Below are 14933 nucleotides of genomic sequence, written 5' to 3'. Positions count from 1 at the left end.
TGTGTGTGTTGATATTTCTTTATGAGCAAAATAGATGATTCTATTTTAAAAGTAGAATTATTAAAGTCATATATGTAATTGATTAAACAAGTTCAAATATAAAAAGATAAATAATGAAAAGTCTCCCTAACTCCTCAGAAATCACTACAATGAACAGTTTTGTGTATCTTCTTAAAAATTTTCTATACATGATAAAGTACATTTGTATATATGTATTTAAAATTTTTTCATTTTTAGGGCAGGTGCGGTGGCTCACCCCTGTAATCCTAGCACTTTGGGAGGCCGAGGCGGGTGGATCACGAGGTCAAGAAATTGAGACCATCCTGGCCAACATGGTGAAACCCCGTCTCTACTGAAAATACAAAAATTAGCCGGGGTGGTGGCATGCACCTGTAGTCCCAGCTACTCGAGAGGCTGAGACAGGAGAATTACTTGAATCCGGGAGGCAGAGGTTGCAGTGAGCTGAGATCGCACCACTGTACTCCAGCCTGCCAATAGAGTGAGACTCTGTCTCAAAAAAAAAAGAAAAAAGAAAAATTTTTCATTTTTAACATACGTGGGATAATGCATTACATACCTGTTTAGGCTCCTTGCATTTTTTTTGCACTTAATTTATAGAATAAGTTCCATTGCACATAATCCAAAACCAAACTACCCTGCATAATAAACTGAATTTGTTGACCTACATAATTAGAAGTTCAGAGAAAGAGCTTGATTCAAGGTGGATTTGACTCAGTGGCTTAACTATGTTATCAGAGATATGGTTTCTCTCTGTCTGCTTTGCCTTTCATGCTATTATTGTTAAGGCTGGCTTCCCATCCTGGCTGTCATATGACTTGTTAACATCCCCAGGGCTACATACCTGCATGTCCATATGTAGGCAGAAAGAGAGAGAGTTATTTCTTGAAGTTCTCTCAGAAGAGCCAGAAAACATTAATTTTAATGTTTTTTCACTTGGAGGCTCAAGTCAACAATTTTCACATCTTATTGGCATGAATTGGGTCATGTGCCTCCATTGGAACCAATCTCCTTAGAAAAGGATGGGGTTACATGAATTCATTAGATGTGAGCCGAGGAAGGACTCACCTTAGAGCCAGGGGTGGAGTTATCATTTTCCAAGCATATGGGCTGTGAGTGGTAGGTGTGGCTATCCAGGCAAAAAATAAAATATTTAGCACCAGTACTTAACATCGTGTTGGGAATATCTCTCTGTAGCTGTATAGCTAGAGATATTTTCTTTTAAAAAATAAAATTGTCAGCATAGGGCTAAAGTATGTAGATACAATATTATTTAACCAATTCCTTACTAATGAACATTTAGGTGATTTCCAAATCTTTCCTGATATAAAGCCATGCTTTAGTGAATTTTATACATGCATTTTTGCATACATATGGATTATAGGTATATCTGTTGGCCAAATTCCCAGAAGATGGGTTGGAGAATTTAATCAGCATACATTTAGTTACAGAGAATCAAATGTTTTCCAGGGGGTAAAGACTCAAGTTTGAACTTTCAGGAATGATTGTCAAAGTTACACTATTGGACTGATCCACCAAAGGAGCTGCTGCCTAACTGGGAAGTTGCCTTGCAGATGTCAGCTCCCAGAATCCCACCACCACAGAGCCATGATCAAGAAGCACCAAGATCAGGAATCAGTGATGATCAGGAAGCCACTGCTGCTCCAGAATTATCCTGTGCCAGTAAAATGGATGTTATATGCTGTGAGCTTTGATACTGACAAAGCTAGTGACCACAAATACAGCAGGAGCAAATGTCAGCTTCATTTTTTGCCTTCCAAATCTCATATGGTACTTCTGATTGATGGAATCTCATTCACACTTGAAACCTTATCTGCAAGGGAATCTGGGAAATGCGTGGCTTCCTGGCTTCCACTGTCAAGGAGGCACCCTGGGAGGAGAAAGATATGCATTCCAGTCTCTCACATGTCAGGGAGTGTGCATTTTTAATTGTGCTAGATCCTGCCAATATTCTTAATGTATATATATATATATATACACACACACACACACACATATACACACACACACACATTTCTTTGCTGCCTTTGTAGAACTAAGATCTCTATAGCCAAAATGGCCCCCATTCCAACTTCATTGTGACTCTATAGATCAAAAGCAATCCTTCACAGCCTGTATTGATTAAAAAGGATGAGCTTCCTTTCAACTGCAGCAAAGAGATGAGCTTCTGACTCGTTAGCCATTGTTGATCATTTCTATAGGCCTGATTCTGTACCAGTTAATTCTCACTTCTTCCCTACAAAGTAGGTTTCATCATCTGCAGGCTGGATATGCAGACAGTGCTCATAGGTAGAGCCCCGAAGGACTGGCTTCTCTTTTAATTGCTTGGGCATTTCCCCAAGATCAGAGGGGTGGAAAGTAACGAGAATTTGAGCCCAGTGGTGTATGGCTCCAAAGGTTGTTTTTCTACCACACCCACTGCCTTTCTGCTGAATCAAACATTAATACAAAAATGCTTACATAGTATGGTGTAGTTTAATAAAGGCTCTGCTTTTAAAACACATTAAGACACAGCTCTTAGTGTTAGTGAATATATTTTCTGGGCACAAATATTGAGACACCATTTTATGACAGATCGTCCAGCAGAGCTCACTGAGGAACTGTCACAAAACTACAGGGTAAGACCCTGTTATATAATATGACCCAAACCAACCTCTCCACAGCCTCATCTCTGCCCCTCCAGCCCCAGGGCCCTAGATGCCACATACTCACTGTACCACGTCCTTACCCTTGCCTGGACTTAGGGGTGAAGTGCCCTTTTCCTAAAGGATGCCATGCTTCAAAGCCAGCTCAAGAAGATACCTCTTCAGGGGAACCTTTACTGACATCCTCAGAAAGAGTTTTGTTTTTTGTTTTGTTTTGTTTTGTTTTTTGAAATGGAGTCTTGCTCTTGTCGCCCAGGCTGGAGTGCAATGACACAATCTCAGCTCACTGCAACCTCCACCTCCCGAGTTCAAGCAATTCTCCTGCCTCAGGCTCCCGAGTAGCTGGGATTACAGATGCATGCTACCACACCGGGCTAATTTTTTTGTGTTTTTAGTAGAGACAGGATTTCACCATGTTAGCCAGGCTGGTTCGAACTCCTGACCTCGTGATCCACCTGCTTTGGCCTCCCAAAGTGCTGGGATTACAGGCATGAGCCACCGCACCTGGCCAGAAAGAGTTCTTATTTCCTCTCACCTTGTAATTGTATCTCTTTCATACTCCTGACTAAAGGTAGAATCTTCTGCCTTTTCTTCCCCCCGCCATCAAGCTGTGATTTCTTAAAAATTATATCTTAATCATTTTTGGCATTCCTTGGTGCCTGTCATATAATGCATAAATTTAGAAGCGGGGGAGGGAGGCGGGGGGGCGGGTGTGGCTGCCTGTTTTTCCAAGTGGAAGGCTAAGATGGTAAGGTTGTCTGTGTTATCCATTTCTTCTACTGTAACTGAAAACTTGTACTTTGAAAGCCAATATATTGTCAACTATTCTAGAATCTTAAGTAGTTTCTTTATATAGAGCAGAGAAAGCAGTAAATTGCAATGGGATAGAGAACAGGCTTTGGAGTGAGAAACTCCTGGATTTGAATCTCAGCTCTGCTACTTGCTATGTTCATGACTTTGAATGACAACCTCCTTCAACTTTAGTGACTGCACTGGTAAAATGGGGATGATAGGAGCGCTTATTCCATAGCCTAGTGTGAGGCTTAATGTGCATAAAGCACCTAGAGCAGTGCCTGACAGTGTCATCTAGTAGGGACACTAGCAGAAATTGATGAAGAGAAGTTTCAAATATGCCATTTTCACACTTCTGTCCCAGAAGAAGAAAGCATTAGAATATTGCTTTCAGATTTTCATTTTTGTTAAAATGCCAGAATTCAAGAATTTTGCTTAATGGGTGAAATATATTGCTCATATATTTGGAGCAATCATTAGAAATAACCTTTCCAAGAGGCACCAACCACCATCCATCCATATGAAGGAGAGCTAAGCCGCAAGAAATGGATGAGGATGTTTTTTCTCATCTCCACTGCAGCTTGTTGCTAGGTACAATCATTCCAGGAGGTTAATATCTTGATCCTTGGGTAAAACAAAGATATAACTCATAAGAAACAGAAGCACAAATGGAACCACAGCTGAGCATGGAGCAAGGGAGGAAAATTTGCAAAGTAGAAATTTAAAAGTTTCATGGTACCATGTAAGCTCTGCGATAGGGACCTGGGATAGAGTGCTGGCAACACCACTAATTAATTATGGGAAAGCCATTTTGTTTTCCGTCCAAGCCCATTTTTCTCACGGGCATGTAGGGGAAGAACAATAATTTTTTCTCCAATTCTCATAGGTTCGTAGTTGGAATGGACCCCTGTAACAATAGACAGATTAATTAAAAAAACCACATTTATTAACATGTATATTTTATATATACATGGGTGATACCAGGGAATGAGTAATTCTCATAGAGGTGAATTTGAATTACAGCTTATATAGCATCTTTAACAAAGTACAGTAAAATTTTAGAGAAGCGACAAAACAAAGGAAAGGAACTTTGAATGTGCAGAATAGCAACTTTTGGAAAGGTAAACTAAGGGCACTTAACGGCAAGTTAGGAAAGCTGGTTAATGTAGATTCCACTGCTGCCATCTCCACCGGCTAACGTTGTCTTAAAGGGTTAACATTTCTTCTCTCTGGTAGGTGAGGGCATGGAAACCCTTTGCCTTTGCATATTTATATCCTGCTTTTAGGCACATGGAGGGCAGAGTGCTTTCCTGCATCTCCTCCTTCATTGCCTTTGGCTCAATAATCCTATATACTTTGGTGTGGCATATTCTGGTTTCCAATAGGCACAAAAGTTCCCATGTCTTACACCTTACCGGGGTTTTCAAAGCACTACTCAGATGCAGAAAATTTGACATTAACAAGGTTAAGAAGCATCAACCAACCCCTCTGTTTCTTGATAGCACCTTTGTTACCGGAAAGGGGCCTTTCATGCGCGTCCGTGTGAAGAGACCACCAAACAGTCTTTGTGTGAGCAACATGGCTGTTTATTTCACCTGGGTGCAGGCGGGCTGAGTCCGAAAAGAGAGTCAGCTAAGGGAGATAGGGGTGGGGCCGTTTTATAGGATTTGGGTACGTAAAGGAAAATTACAGTCAAAGGGGGTTTGTTCTCTGGTGGGCCGGAGTGGGGGTCGCAAGGTGCTCAGTGGGGGTGCTTTTTGAGCCAGGATGAGCCAGGAAAAGGACTTTCACAAGGTAATGTCATCAGTTAAGGCAAGGACCGGCCATTTACACTTCTTTTGTGGTGGAATGTCATCAGTTAAGGCGGCGCAGGGCATATTCACTTCTTTTGTGATTCTTCAGTTACTTCAGGCCATCTGGGTGTATAGGTGCAAGTCACAGGGGATGTGATGGCTTGGCTTGGGCTCAGAGGCCTGACATTCCTGCCTTCTTATATTAATAAGAAAAATAAAACAAAATAGTGTTGAAGTGTGGGGGCGGCGAAAAATTTTGGGGGGTGGTATGGAGAGAGAGAATGGGCAATGTTTCTCAGGGCTGCTTCGAGCGGGGTTAGGGGCGGTGTGGGAACCTAGAGTGGGAGAGATTAAGCTGAAGGAAGATTTTGTGGTAAGGGGTGATATTGTGTGGTTGTTAGAAGAAACTTTGTCGTGTAGAATTATTGGTGATGGCCTGGATACAGTTTTGTATGAATTGAAAAACTAAATGGAATAAGAGAAGGAGAAAAACAGGTATAAAAGGTCTAAGAATTGGGAGGACCCAGGACATCTGATTAGAGATGCCTAAGGAGATTCAGCATAGTCCTGCCAGCAAAGATTATTTATTTACTTCAAGAGTTTAGAGTGGCGGTTTGGGGATAGCACCAGGAGATATCAGCTGTGATGGCTTGGAGAAACAGTCTAAACTGGCAGTGTAAACAAGAGCAAGTCATTTATGAGTAGTTGAGAACGGTGAATAGGAGTATGACTAAACAGAAGATAGTAGGGATGACAAGTTTTTTGGGGCACAGTCTAAGTTGGTCTGGTGTCTGGAATGAGACTGGGGCCTAATGAAAAGGAGCGTCTATACAGGAGCTTAAATGGGCTGTACCTTGTAGCATTCCAAGGACAGACCTGAATTCAGAGAAGTGAAAGTGGTAAAAGTATGGTCCAGTCCTTTTTAAGTTGGTGGCTGAGCTGGGTGAGGTGTGTTTTTAGTAGACCATTAGTCTGTCACTGAATACTAAGAGCCTGAAAAACTGCTTGGCTGATTTGACTAATAAAGGCTGGTCTGTTATCAGACTGTATAGAGGTGGGAAGACTAAACTGAGGAATTATGTCTGACAGAAGGGAAGAAATGACTGTGGTGGCCTTCTCAGACCCTGTAGGAAAGGCCTCTACCCATCCAGTGAAAGTGTCTACCCAGACTAAGAGATATTTTAGTTTTCTAACTCGAGGCATGTGAGTAAAGTCAATTTGCCAGTCCTGGGCAGGGGCAAATCCCCGAGCTTGATGTGTAGGAAAGGGAGGAGGCCTGAACAATCCATGAGGGGTAGTAGAATAGCAGATGGAACACTGAGAAGTGATCTCCTTGAGGATAGATTTCCACGATGGAAAGGAAATGAGAGGTTCTAAGAGACGGGCTAGTGGCTTGTAACCTACATGGAAGAGGTTATGAAATGACGACAGAATAGAATGGGCCTGTGAGGCTGGAAGGAGATATTTTCCTTGGTCTAAGAACCATTTGCCTTGTGTGGGAAGAGATTGATAGGTGGAAGTTTCAGCAGGGGAGTAGGTGGGAGTGACCGATGTGAAGGAGAAAAACTGGCCGTGAGGGACAGAAGTTGGAGAGCTAGCTGCTTGTCTAGCCACCTTATCAGCATAAGTGTTGCCTAGAGCAATGGGATCTGACGCCTTTTGACGCCCCTTGCAGTGAATGACCCCAGCTTCCTTTGGAAGTAAAGTGGGCTTGAGTAGTTTTTATTAAAGAGGGATTAATGATGGAGGACCCTTGTGTAGTGAGAAAACCTCTTTCAGCCCATATGACTGCATGGTGGTGCAGAATATGAAAGGCATATTTAGAATCAGTATAGATATCGATGCGTAGTCCTTTTGCAAGAGTGAGGGCTTGAGTTAAGGCAACTAGTTCGGCTTGCTGAGCGGTAGTGGAGGGGGGCAGAGCGGTAGCCTCAATGATAGATGTGGAAGATACTACAGCATAGCCTGCCTTTGCTGGTGAGTGGCGATTAAGCCTGGTGGAACTGCCATCAATAAACCAAGTGTGATCACGGTGAGAAACAGGGAAGAAGGAAATGTGGGGAAATGGGGTGAACGTCAGGTGGATCAGAGAGATGCAGTCATGAGGGTCAGGTGTGGTATCCAGAATAATGTGAGAAGCCGGATTGAAGTCTGGGCCAGGAACAACAGTAACTGTGGGAGACTCAACAAAGAGTGAGTACAGCTGAAGGAGCCGGGAAGCAGAAAGTATATGCGTCAGGTATGAGGAAGAAAATAGATTTTGGAAGTTATGAGAACTGTAGAGAGTGAGTTGAGCATCGTTTGTGATTTTGAGGGCCTCTAAAAGTATTAAAGCAGCGGCAGCTGCTGCACGCAGACATGAGGGCTAGGCTAAAACAGTAAGGTCAAGTTGTTTGGACAGAAAGGCTACAGGGTGCGGTCCTGGCTCTTGTGTAAGAATTCTGACCACGCTAACCATGCCTAGGAAGGAAAGGAGTTGTTGTTTTGTAGAAGGTGCTGGGGTTTGAGAGATCAGTTGGACACGATTGGCAGGGAGAGCACGTGTGTTTTTATGAGAATTATGCCGAGATAGGTAACAGATGAGGAAGAAATTTGGGCTTGACTGAAGTAATGGGGGCTGTCTGTGAAGCTTTGCAGCAGTACAGCCTAGGTAATTTGCTGAGCTTGATGGGTGTCAGGGTCAGTCCAAGTGAAAGCGAAGAGAGGCTGGGAGGAAAGGTGCAAAGGAATAGTAAAGAAAGCATGTTTGAGATCTAGAACAGAATAATAGGTTGTAGAGGAAGGCATTGAGGATAGGAGAGTATATGGGTTTGGCACCACGGGGTGGATAGGTGAAACAGTTTGGTTGATAAGGCGCAGATCCTGAACTAACTTGTAAGGCTTGTCTGGTTTTAGGACAGGTAAAATATGGGAATTGTAAGGAGAGTTTATAGGCTTTAAAAGGCCATGCTGTAGCAGGCGAGTGATAACAGGCTTTAATGTTTTTAAAGCATGCTGCGGGATGGGATATTGGCGTTGAGTGGGGTAAGAGTGATTAGGTTTTAATGAGATGGTAAGGGGTGCATGATCGGTCGCCAAGGAGGGAGTAGAGGTATCCTATGCTTGTGGGTTAAGGTGGGGGGGATACGAGAGGGAGGATGTGAAGGAGGCTTTGAACTGGGGGAAAAGGTGGCAGTGAGGTGTGGCTGTAGCCCAGGAATAGTCAGGGAAGCAGATAATTTAGTTAAAGTGTCTCAGCCTAATAAGGGAACTGGGCAGGTGGGGATAACTAAAAAGGAGTGCTTAAAAGAGTATTGTCTAAGTTGGCACCAGAGTTGGGGAGTTTTAAGAGGTTTAGAAGCCTGGCCGTCAATACCCACAACAGTTATGGAGGCAAGGGAAACAGGCCCTTGAAAAGAAGGTAATGTGGAGTCGGTAGCCTCCGTATTGATTAAGAAGGGGACGGACTTACCCTCCACTGTGAGAATTACCCAGACTGTCTGTGATGGTCCTGTAGGCTTCCGAGGCAATTGGGCAGTGTCAGTCTTCAGCTGCTAAGCCGAGAAGATCTGGGAAGGAGTCAGTCAGAGAGCCTTGGGCCAGAGTCCCAGGGGCTCTGGGAGTGGCTGCCAGGTAAGTTGAACAGTCCGATTTTCAGTGGGGTCCCACACAGATGGGACATGGCTTAGGAGGAATCCCGGGCTGCGGGCATTCCTTGGCCTGGTGGCCAGATTTCTGGCACTTGTAGCAAGCTCCTGGGGGAGGCGGCTCTGGAGGAACGCCTGGCTGCTGCGGTTCAGGCATTTGGAAGTTCTTGTGTGCTGGAGATATGGCTGGGGTTTGTCTCCCAGTGGAGACAAGGAATTGCCTTTTTTCTATTATTGTACACCTGGAAGGCAAGGTTAATTAGGTCCTGTTGTGGAGTTTGAGGGCTGGAATTTAATTTTTGGAGTTTTATTTAAAGTTGGGAGCGGATTGGGTAATAAAATGTATACTAAGAATAAGACGACCTTTTGACCTTATAGGGTCTAGGGCTGTAAAGCGTCTCAGGGTTGCTGCCAAAGGGGCCATGAACTGGGCTGGGTTTTTCATATTTGATGAAAAAGAGCCTAAACGCTACTGATTTGGGAGAGGTAGGATAAAGAAAAAGGAGCATCAACCTTGACTATGCCTTTAGCTCCAGCCACCTTTTTAAGAGGAAATTGCTGGGCAGGTGGGGGAGGGCTAGTGGCGGAACGAAACTGTAAGCGGGACCAGGTGTGAGGAGGGGAGGTGATAAAAGGGTTATAGGGTGGAGGAGGGGAGGCTGAGGAAGAATTGGGACCTAGCTTGGCCAGGCTAGGAGGGGAGATGTCAGATGGGTCTGTAGAAAAGGAAGATTAGAAAGACTCAGTGACGCTTGGGGTTGGGACTGAGGGGACAGGCAGGAGGGAAAGGAGGAAGATTTGGTATGAGTTGCATTGGGCACAGAGACTAGGAAGGGACTGATGTGTAAAAGAATGCCTGGACGTCAGGCACCTCAGACCGTTTGCCTATTTTACGACAAGAATTATTTAGATCTTGCAGGATGGAAACATTGAAAGTGTGGTTTTCTGGCTATTTGGAACTACTGTCGAGTTTGTATTGGGGTCAAGCAGCATTGCAGAAGAAAATAAGACATTTAGGTTTTAGGTCAGGTGTGAGTTGAAGAGGTTTTAAGTTTTTGAGAACACTGGCTAAGGGAGAAGAAGGAGGAATGGAGGGTGGAAGATTGCCTATAGTGAAGGAGGCAAGTTTAAAGAAAAGGGAGAGTAGAGACATGGAGGGAAGTGGTTCAGGGGTTCTTACCCTCCAGAAAAGCAGGAAAGGGGTCGGGGCACAGAGATACGAAGTTGGGGCATGGAAGTAAGGTATTGGGGCGCAGAGATGTAAGAGGTTGGGGCACGGAAATAAGGGATCAGGGCGCAGAGATATAAGAGGTCGGGGCACGGAAATAAGGGATCGGGGCGCAGAGATACGAGGTTGGGGTACTTGCCCATCCCCAAGAAAAGCGGGACTTGCCTCTAAGGGTGAAGGACCAAGGCAGGCATCCCTGCGGGGTCTGACACCTCTGAAATGTGGGTGAATAATCAGAGAGGTATCCCTGCAATGATTAAACACCAAAGGAAGGCTGCCTTCCCAGTCCGTGACTGGCGCCGGAGTTTTGGGTCCACAGATAAAATGTGTCTCCTTTGTCTCTACCAGAAAATGAAAGGAATTGAAATTAAGAGAAGGGAGAGATTAAAGAGTGGAAAGGAGAAAGTGGTTGAGGAATAGTGAGAGAGGTTGGAGAAGAGAGTAAGAAGAGGCCACTTACCCGATTTAAAATTGGTGAGATGTTCCTTGGGCTGGTGGGTCTGAGGACCTGAGGTCGTAGGTGGATCTTTTTCATAGACCAAAGAACAGGAGGACAGGGGATTGATCTCCCAAGGGAGGTCCCCTGATCCGAGTCATGGCACCAAATTTCATGCGCGTCCGTGTGAAGAGACCACCAAACAGGCTTTGCGTGAGCAACATGGCTGTTTATTTAACCTGGGTGCAGGCGGGCTGAGTCTGAAAAGAGAGTCAGTGAAAGGAGATAAGGGTGGGGCCGTTTTATAGGATTTGGGTAGGTAAAGGAAAATTACAGTCAAAGGGGGTTTGTTCTCTGGCGGGCAGGAGTGCGGGGTCGCAAGGTGCTCAGTGGGGGTGCTTTTTGAGCCAGGATGAGCCAGGAAAAGGACTTTCACAAGGTAATGTCATCAGTTAAGGCAAGGACCGGCCATTTACACTTCTTTTGTGGTGGAATGTCATCAGTTAAGGTGAGGCAGGGCATATTCACTTCTTTTGTGATTCTTCAGTTACTTCAGGCCATCTGGGCGTATATACGTGCAAGTCACGGGATGCGATGGCTTGGCTTGGGCTCAGAGGCCTGACAGGGCCCAGATCCAGACTCCAAAAGAAAGCTCATGGATCTTGCACAGGAAAGAATTCAGGGCAGTCCATAAACTAAAGTGAAAGCAAGTATATTAAGAAAGTAAAGAAATAAAAGAATGGCTACTCCATAGACAGAGCATCCCCGAGGGCTGCTGGTTGCCCATTTTTATGGTTATTTTCTGATGATATGCTAAACAAGGAATGGATTATTCATGCCCCTCCTTTTTAGGCCATATAGGGTATCTTCCTGATGTTGCTATGGCATTTGTAAACTGTCATGGGTGGGAGTGTAGCAGTGAGGACGACCAGAGGTCACTCTCATTGCCATCTTGCTTTTGTTGGGTTTTGACCGGCTTGTTTACTGCAATCTGTCTTATCAGCAAGGTCTTTATGACCTGTATCTTGTGCTTACCTCCTCTCATCCTGTTACTTAGAATGCTTCACCTTCTGGGAAAACCTAGTACCCAGCTCCTATTCAAGATGGAGTTGTTCTGATTCAAATGCCTCTAACACCTTGATGTGAGTGTTGTCATCCTGGAGGTAAAACCAGGCCGGTGATGCCTCAACTTCCTGTCCAGGAAAGGGACCTGGGATAGAGTGCTAGCAACATCACCATCTAGTTATAGGAAAGCCATTCCTGTCCAGGGACAGAAACTAATTGAAATTGAAAAGTAGGTTGAAAAATTCATATCTTGTGTTTTCTTTAAGTTTTGTACATTTGTTCTGAGGTTAAAAAAAAGTTCTTAAAATAAAACACACTCCAGAAACCTCAAGTTTAAAAATGACTATATATCACTGAACATGCCACTTTTTTTTTTTTTTTTTTGAGATGGAGTCTCACTCTGGAGTTCAGTGGCATGATTGTGGCTCACTGCAACCTCCGCCTCCCAGGTTCAAGGGATTGTTCTGCCTCAGCCTCCCGAGTAGACAGGATTACAGGCTTGCACTACCACCCCTGGCTAATATTTGTATTTTTAGTAGAGATGGGGTTTCACCATATTGGTCAGGCTAGTCTTGAACTCCTGACCTCGTCATCCGCCTGCCTCGGCCTCCCAAAGTGCTGGGATTACAGGCGTGAGCCACCGCACATGGCAAACATAACTTTTATTAATAAGAATAAATATTTTATTAAACCTCTAGTATTCTTTATTTTAATTGGTTTATTTCTCTCCTTCCTTCCTTCCTTCCTTCCTTCCCTCCCTCCTTTCTTTCATTTCAATGTGTGTTTGTGTGGGTGTACCACTGAAAACCCTTCATGGAATGAGGCAGATGAACTTACATGAACTTTAACATTTTATTTAATCCTCACCACAAATTGATGAAATGGGCATGTGGCCCATTTTACAGATGAAGTAATGAAGAATCAAGGAGTTCAAGTAAGCTGTCTACCTCACAAAGCCAGGAGGTGGCAGAGCCAGGATCTAAACACAAATCTGATGCCAGGACTCCCAAATTCAGGGTGTGGGAGGACCTTGACCTACAACCTCACTGTGCTGCAGAGATGAGGGGTTCCCAAGGCTGACCTGGGCAAACAGATGAGCTGAACACTTAAATGTGAATGAGCTGACATTTACACTTGACCATTTTAGTTGTGCAAAGAGCAGATAGAACTGGATGTAGGGATGGGATTCAGGTAACTTTCAACCAGGAAAGAAAGAATGGTTCAAGAGAAAAAATCCAGGATACTTGACAAGAAACCCAGGAAGCATATTAGCCCTCCTGGCTGGTTATCTTAACTAAGAATCATGGACTGGAACTTCAAGGTTTCTGGTGTAGATGTTGAATCACACAGTCATTTAAGGACACCGGGGTGGAAGTGCAAATTTACACGCAATTGGTGAGAAGTGTGGAAAACATTTTGTCCTTGGCTTTTATTTATGGAATCTTCTCCCTTAGCTCCAAACTTTCTAATCTCTTCTTTTCTATCAAGAAACATTACCAGAAAGTGATTGGCCCATATATCTAAGCTTCTTTAAGATTTGGGCACTTGTGAATACCACAGGTCTTTGCAGAAGGAACCTGAGATTCCTGCACTTCAAGGCTGGCCATTGAAATGCAAGCTCTTGTTTTTAAAGAGTCACTTCCAGATGGACTTCAAACTCCCTTTTGATCTCTTCCAGGCCCTTCCCCAGCATCATTCTGGAATGCTCACTTTTCCTAGAAAGTGGCTCTTTTCCATCTGGTTGTGCACAAACTACTTTCCCTTGCTGACTTTCAGTAGGGTGGAAATTAGTTTCTGGGTGATAGGGCTTCCTATCGTGATTTGTTTAGCTCTGATTGTGGGGGGTATTTATGGATGATTTAGTTAACATTGCTGTCAACACTGGCAAGCAAGTTTTCAAAAAAGTTTTCCCTAGTCACACATCTACTTGCTGAGGAGACAGGCAGTTCTTTTTCTACTTTCTCAAATATGAGAATATGTCATTAAATGAACCTAAGAAGAAAAACAAGTTCCCATAGTCACTGCAAGGGGCCGCAACCAGAAAGCACCTATTTTGTTTAATATTTTTCAAAGAAACATATTCATATGTTCTTGATGCCTAATCTGAAAAAGGGCAACTGCACTTCTAAATGTTGCTTTCAAACCAGTGAAACAAAGTATTCTTGGAAGAATAAATTGTTGCTCCCAAACTTGGACATGGGTGATCCCTTTTATGCTTGCTGTCTCCCAATAATACCTACAGCAGAGAGTCTTAATTTGGATTTCAGAGGGACTCTGAAAAGTCATAAAAATGTTTCCAGTGTGTATGTGTGTGCACTTAGGATTTTTCTAGGGTCTGGGGTCATAGTTTTCATCAGATTTCTATAAGAGACCCATAACCCTCAATGTTTTACATTGAATGACCTAGTGTGGCACTGAAAAAAACTTCCTAGGGAGAAGTTGGCCTGGCCCCTATTAATTAGACCTGGGGAAAGTGGGCAGCAGAAGTAGAGTCACATCTGCCTTCAGTGTGATTCTGTCTTTCAACAAACATCTAGCAAGGACTCAGTGAAAGGCGGTAAAAGGCAAGAGACTTGATTGTCTCTCTTTTAGGAGTCACAATCGTGAATGCAATTGTTAACTGCAAATTACTCAGCCCCTTTCAAGTCTCTGGCTGCAGGATGGAAGCCTAGAGCCTTCCAATTCCTGGGGGAGCCTACATGCTGTGTGATGAAGTATTCATTAGTTGATTTGTGTAAAGTGCTTTGAAGATCCAAAGACCCAGAGTGCTAGAAGCATCCTCGACCTCCTTAAACTTTCTTTGTCTCTCTTTTACCTAAAGGCAACTTGTCAGTACCATGATGAGGTACCCAAAATACAGACCTTGCTCTGAAGTCCTCATAATCAGTAAGTGGCCCACCTGAATAGAGGCATTTTCTTCTTTCCTGAAGAGGGGGTTAAAAACTTGACTCTCATAAGAGGCCTAGTTTTGAACAGGAGCTTCCCTTTTTGACCACACTGGCAGCTTTTATTTGAAGATGCTTACAACAAGTTAAAGCCTAGAGTGTTTGGTGATAAATTAAATCAGAGGATATGCAGGCTGGATGCCCCAGTGCATTTGGGAGGCAAGCTGCTGGCAGTGGGATCTGTATGATGCCTGAGAAGCCTCCACGGGGGATAAAAGGATCAGAATTTACAATCTAGTAGGGGTGTAAGATAAGCACAGAGATAACTACGGTATAAATCAGGATGTGTTCCACTGGGGCTATAAGAAAGACTCAAAGAACAGGATGGGCATTAGAAATGGGCCTATCATGCTTTATGTGTTGA

At 43.9% G+C, this 14933-nt stretch overlaps 8 annotated features.

Annotated features, from left to right (window-relative positions):
- Positions 1938–2478: an enhancer, noted in NCBI's record as "NANOG hESC enhancer chr4:17008075-17008615 (GRCh37/hg19 assembly coordinates)". NCBI's record gives its function as "activates a minimal SCP1, AML or CMV promoter by ChIP-STARR-seq in naive H9 embryonic stem cells {active_cell/tissue: H9 hESC(naive)}" and the evidence as "EXISTENCE:reporter gene assay evidence [ECO:0000049][PMID:30033119]".
- Positions 4997–5518: an enhancer, noted in NCBI's record as "OCT4-NANOG-H3K27ac hESC enhancer chr4:17005035-17005556 (GRCh37/hg19 assembly coordinates)". NCBI's record gives its function as "activates a minimal SCP1, AML or CMV promoter by ChIP-STARR-seq in naive and primed H9 embryonic stem cells {active_cell/tissue: H9 hESC(naive and primed)}" and the evidence as "EXISTENCE:reporter gene assay evidence [ECO:0000049][PMID:30033119]".
- Positions 5519–6040: an enhancer, noted in NCBI's record as "OCT4-NANOG-H3K27ac hESC enhancer chr4:17004513-17005034 (GRCh37/hg19 assembly coordinates)". NCBI's record gives its function as "activates a minimal SCP1, AML or CMV promoter by ChIP-STARR-seq in naive H9 embryonic stem cells {active_cell/tissue: H9 hESC(naive)}" and the evidence as "EXISTENCE:reporter gene assay evidence [ECO:0000049][PMID:30033119]".
- Positions 7562–8473: an enhancer, noted in NCBI's record as "H3K27ac hESC enhancer chr4:17002080-17002991 (GRCh37/hg19 assembly coordinates)". NCBI's record gives its function as "activates a minimal SCP1, AML or CMV promoter by ChIP-STARR-seq in naive and primed H9 embryonic stem cells {active_cell/tissue: H9 hESC(naive and primed)}" and the evidence as "EXISTENCE:reporter gene assay evidence [ECO:0000049][PMID:30033119]".
- Positions 10317–11136: an enhancer, noted in NCBI's record as "OCT4-NANOG-H3K27ac hESC enhancer chr4:16999417-17000236 (GRCh37/hg19 assembly coordinates)". NCBI's record gives its function as "activates a minimal SCP1, AML or CMV promoter by ChIP-STARR-seq in naive and primed H9 embryonic stem cells {active_cell/tissue: H9 hESC(naive and primed)}" and the evidence as "EXISTENCE:reporter gene assay evidence [ECO:0000049][PMID:30033119]".
- Positions 11137–11958: an enhancer, noted in NCBI's record as "OCT4-NANOG-H3K27ac hESC enhancer chr4:16998595-16999416 (GRCh37/hg19 assembly coordinates)". NCBI's record gives its function as "activates a minimal SCP1, AML or CMV promoter by ChIP-STARR-seq in primed H9 embryonic stem cells {active_cell/tissue: H9 hESC(primed)}" and the evidence as "EXISTENCE:reporter gene assay evidence [ECO:0000049][PMID:30033119]".
- Positions 13009–13754: an enhancer, noted in NCBI's record as "OCT4-NANOG-H3K27ac hESC enhancer chr4:16996799-16997544 (GRCh37/hg19 assembly coordinates)". NCBI's record gives its function as "activates a minimal SCP1, AML or CMV promoter by ChIP-STARR-seq in primed H9 embryonic stem cells {active_cell/tissue: H9 hESC(primed)}" and the evidence as "EXISTENCE:reporter gene assay evidence [ECO:0000049][PMID:30033119]".
- Positions 13755–14500: an enhancer, noted in NCBI's record as "OCT4-NANOG-H3K27ac-H3K4me1 hESC enhancer chr4:16996053-16996798 (GRCh37/hg19 assembly coordinates)". NCBI's record gives its function as "activates a minimal SCP1, AML or CMV promoter by ChIP-STARR-seq in naive and primed H9 embryonic stem cells {active_cell/tissue: H9 hESC(naive and primed)}" and the evidence as "EXISTENCE:reporter gene assay evidence [ECO:0000049][PMID:30033119]".

Source organism: Homo sapiens, chromosome 4 (genome assembly GCF_000001405.40).
Source record: "Homo sapiens chromosome 4, GRCh38.p14 Primary Assembly".
Classification (NCBI taxonomy): Eukaryota; Metazoa; Chordata; class Mammalia; order Primates; family Hominidae; genus Homo; species Homo sapiens.
Note: the sequence above shows the minus strand (reverse complement) of the source record. Positions and strands in the feature narration are given on the sequence as shown.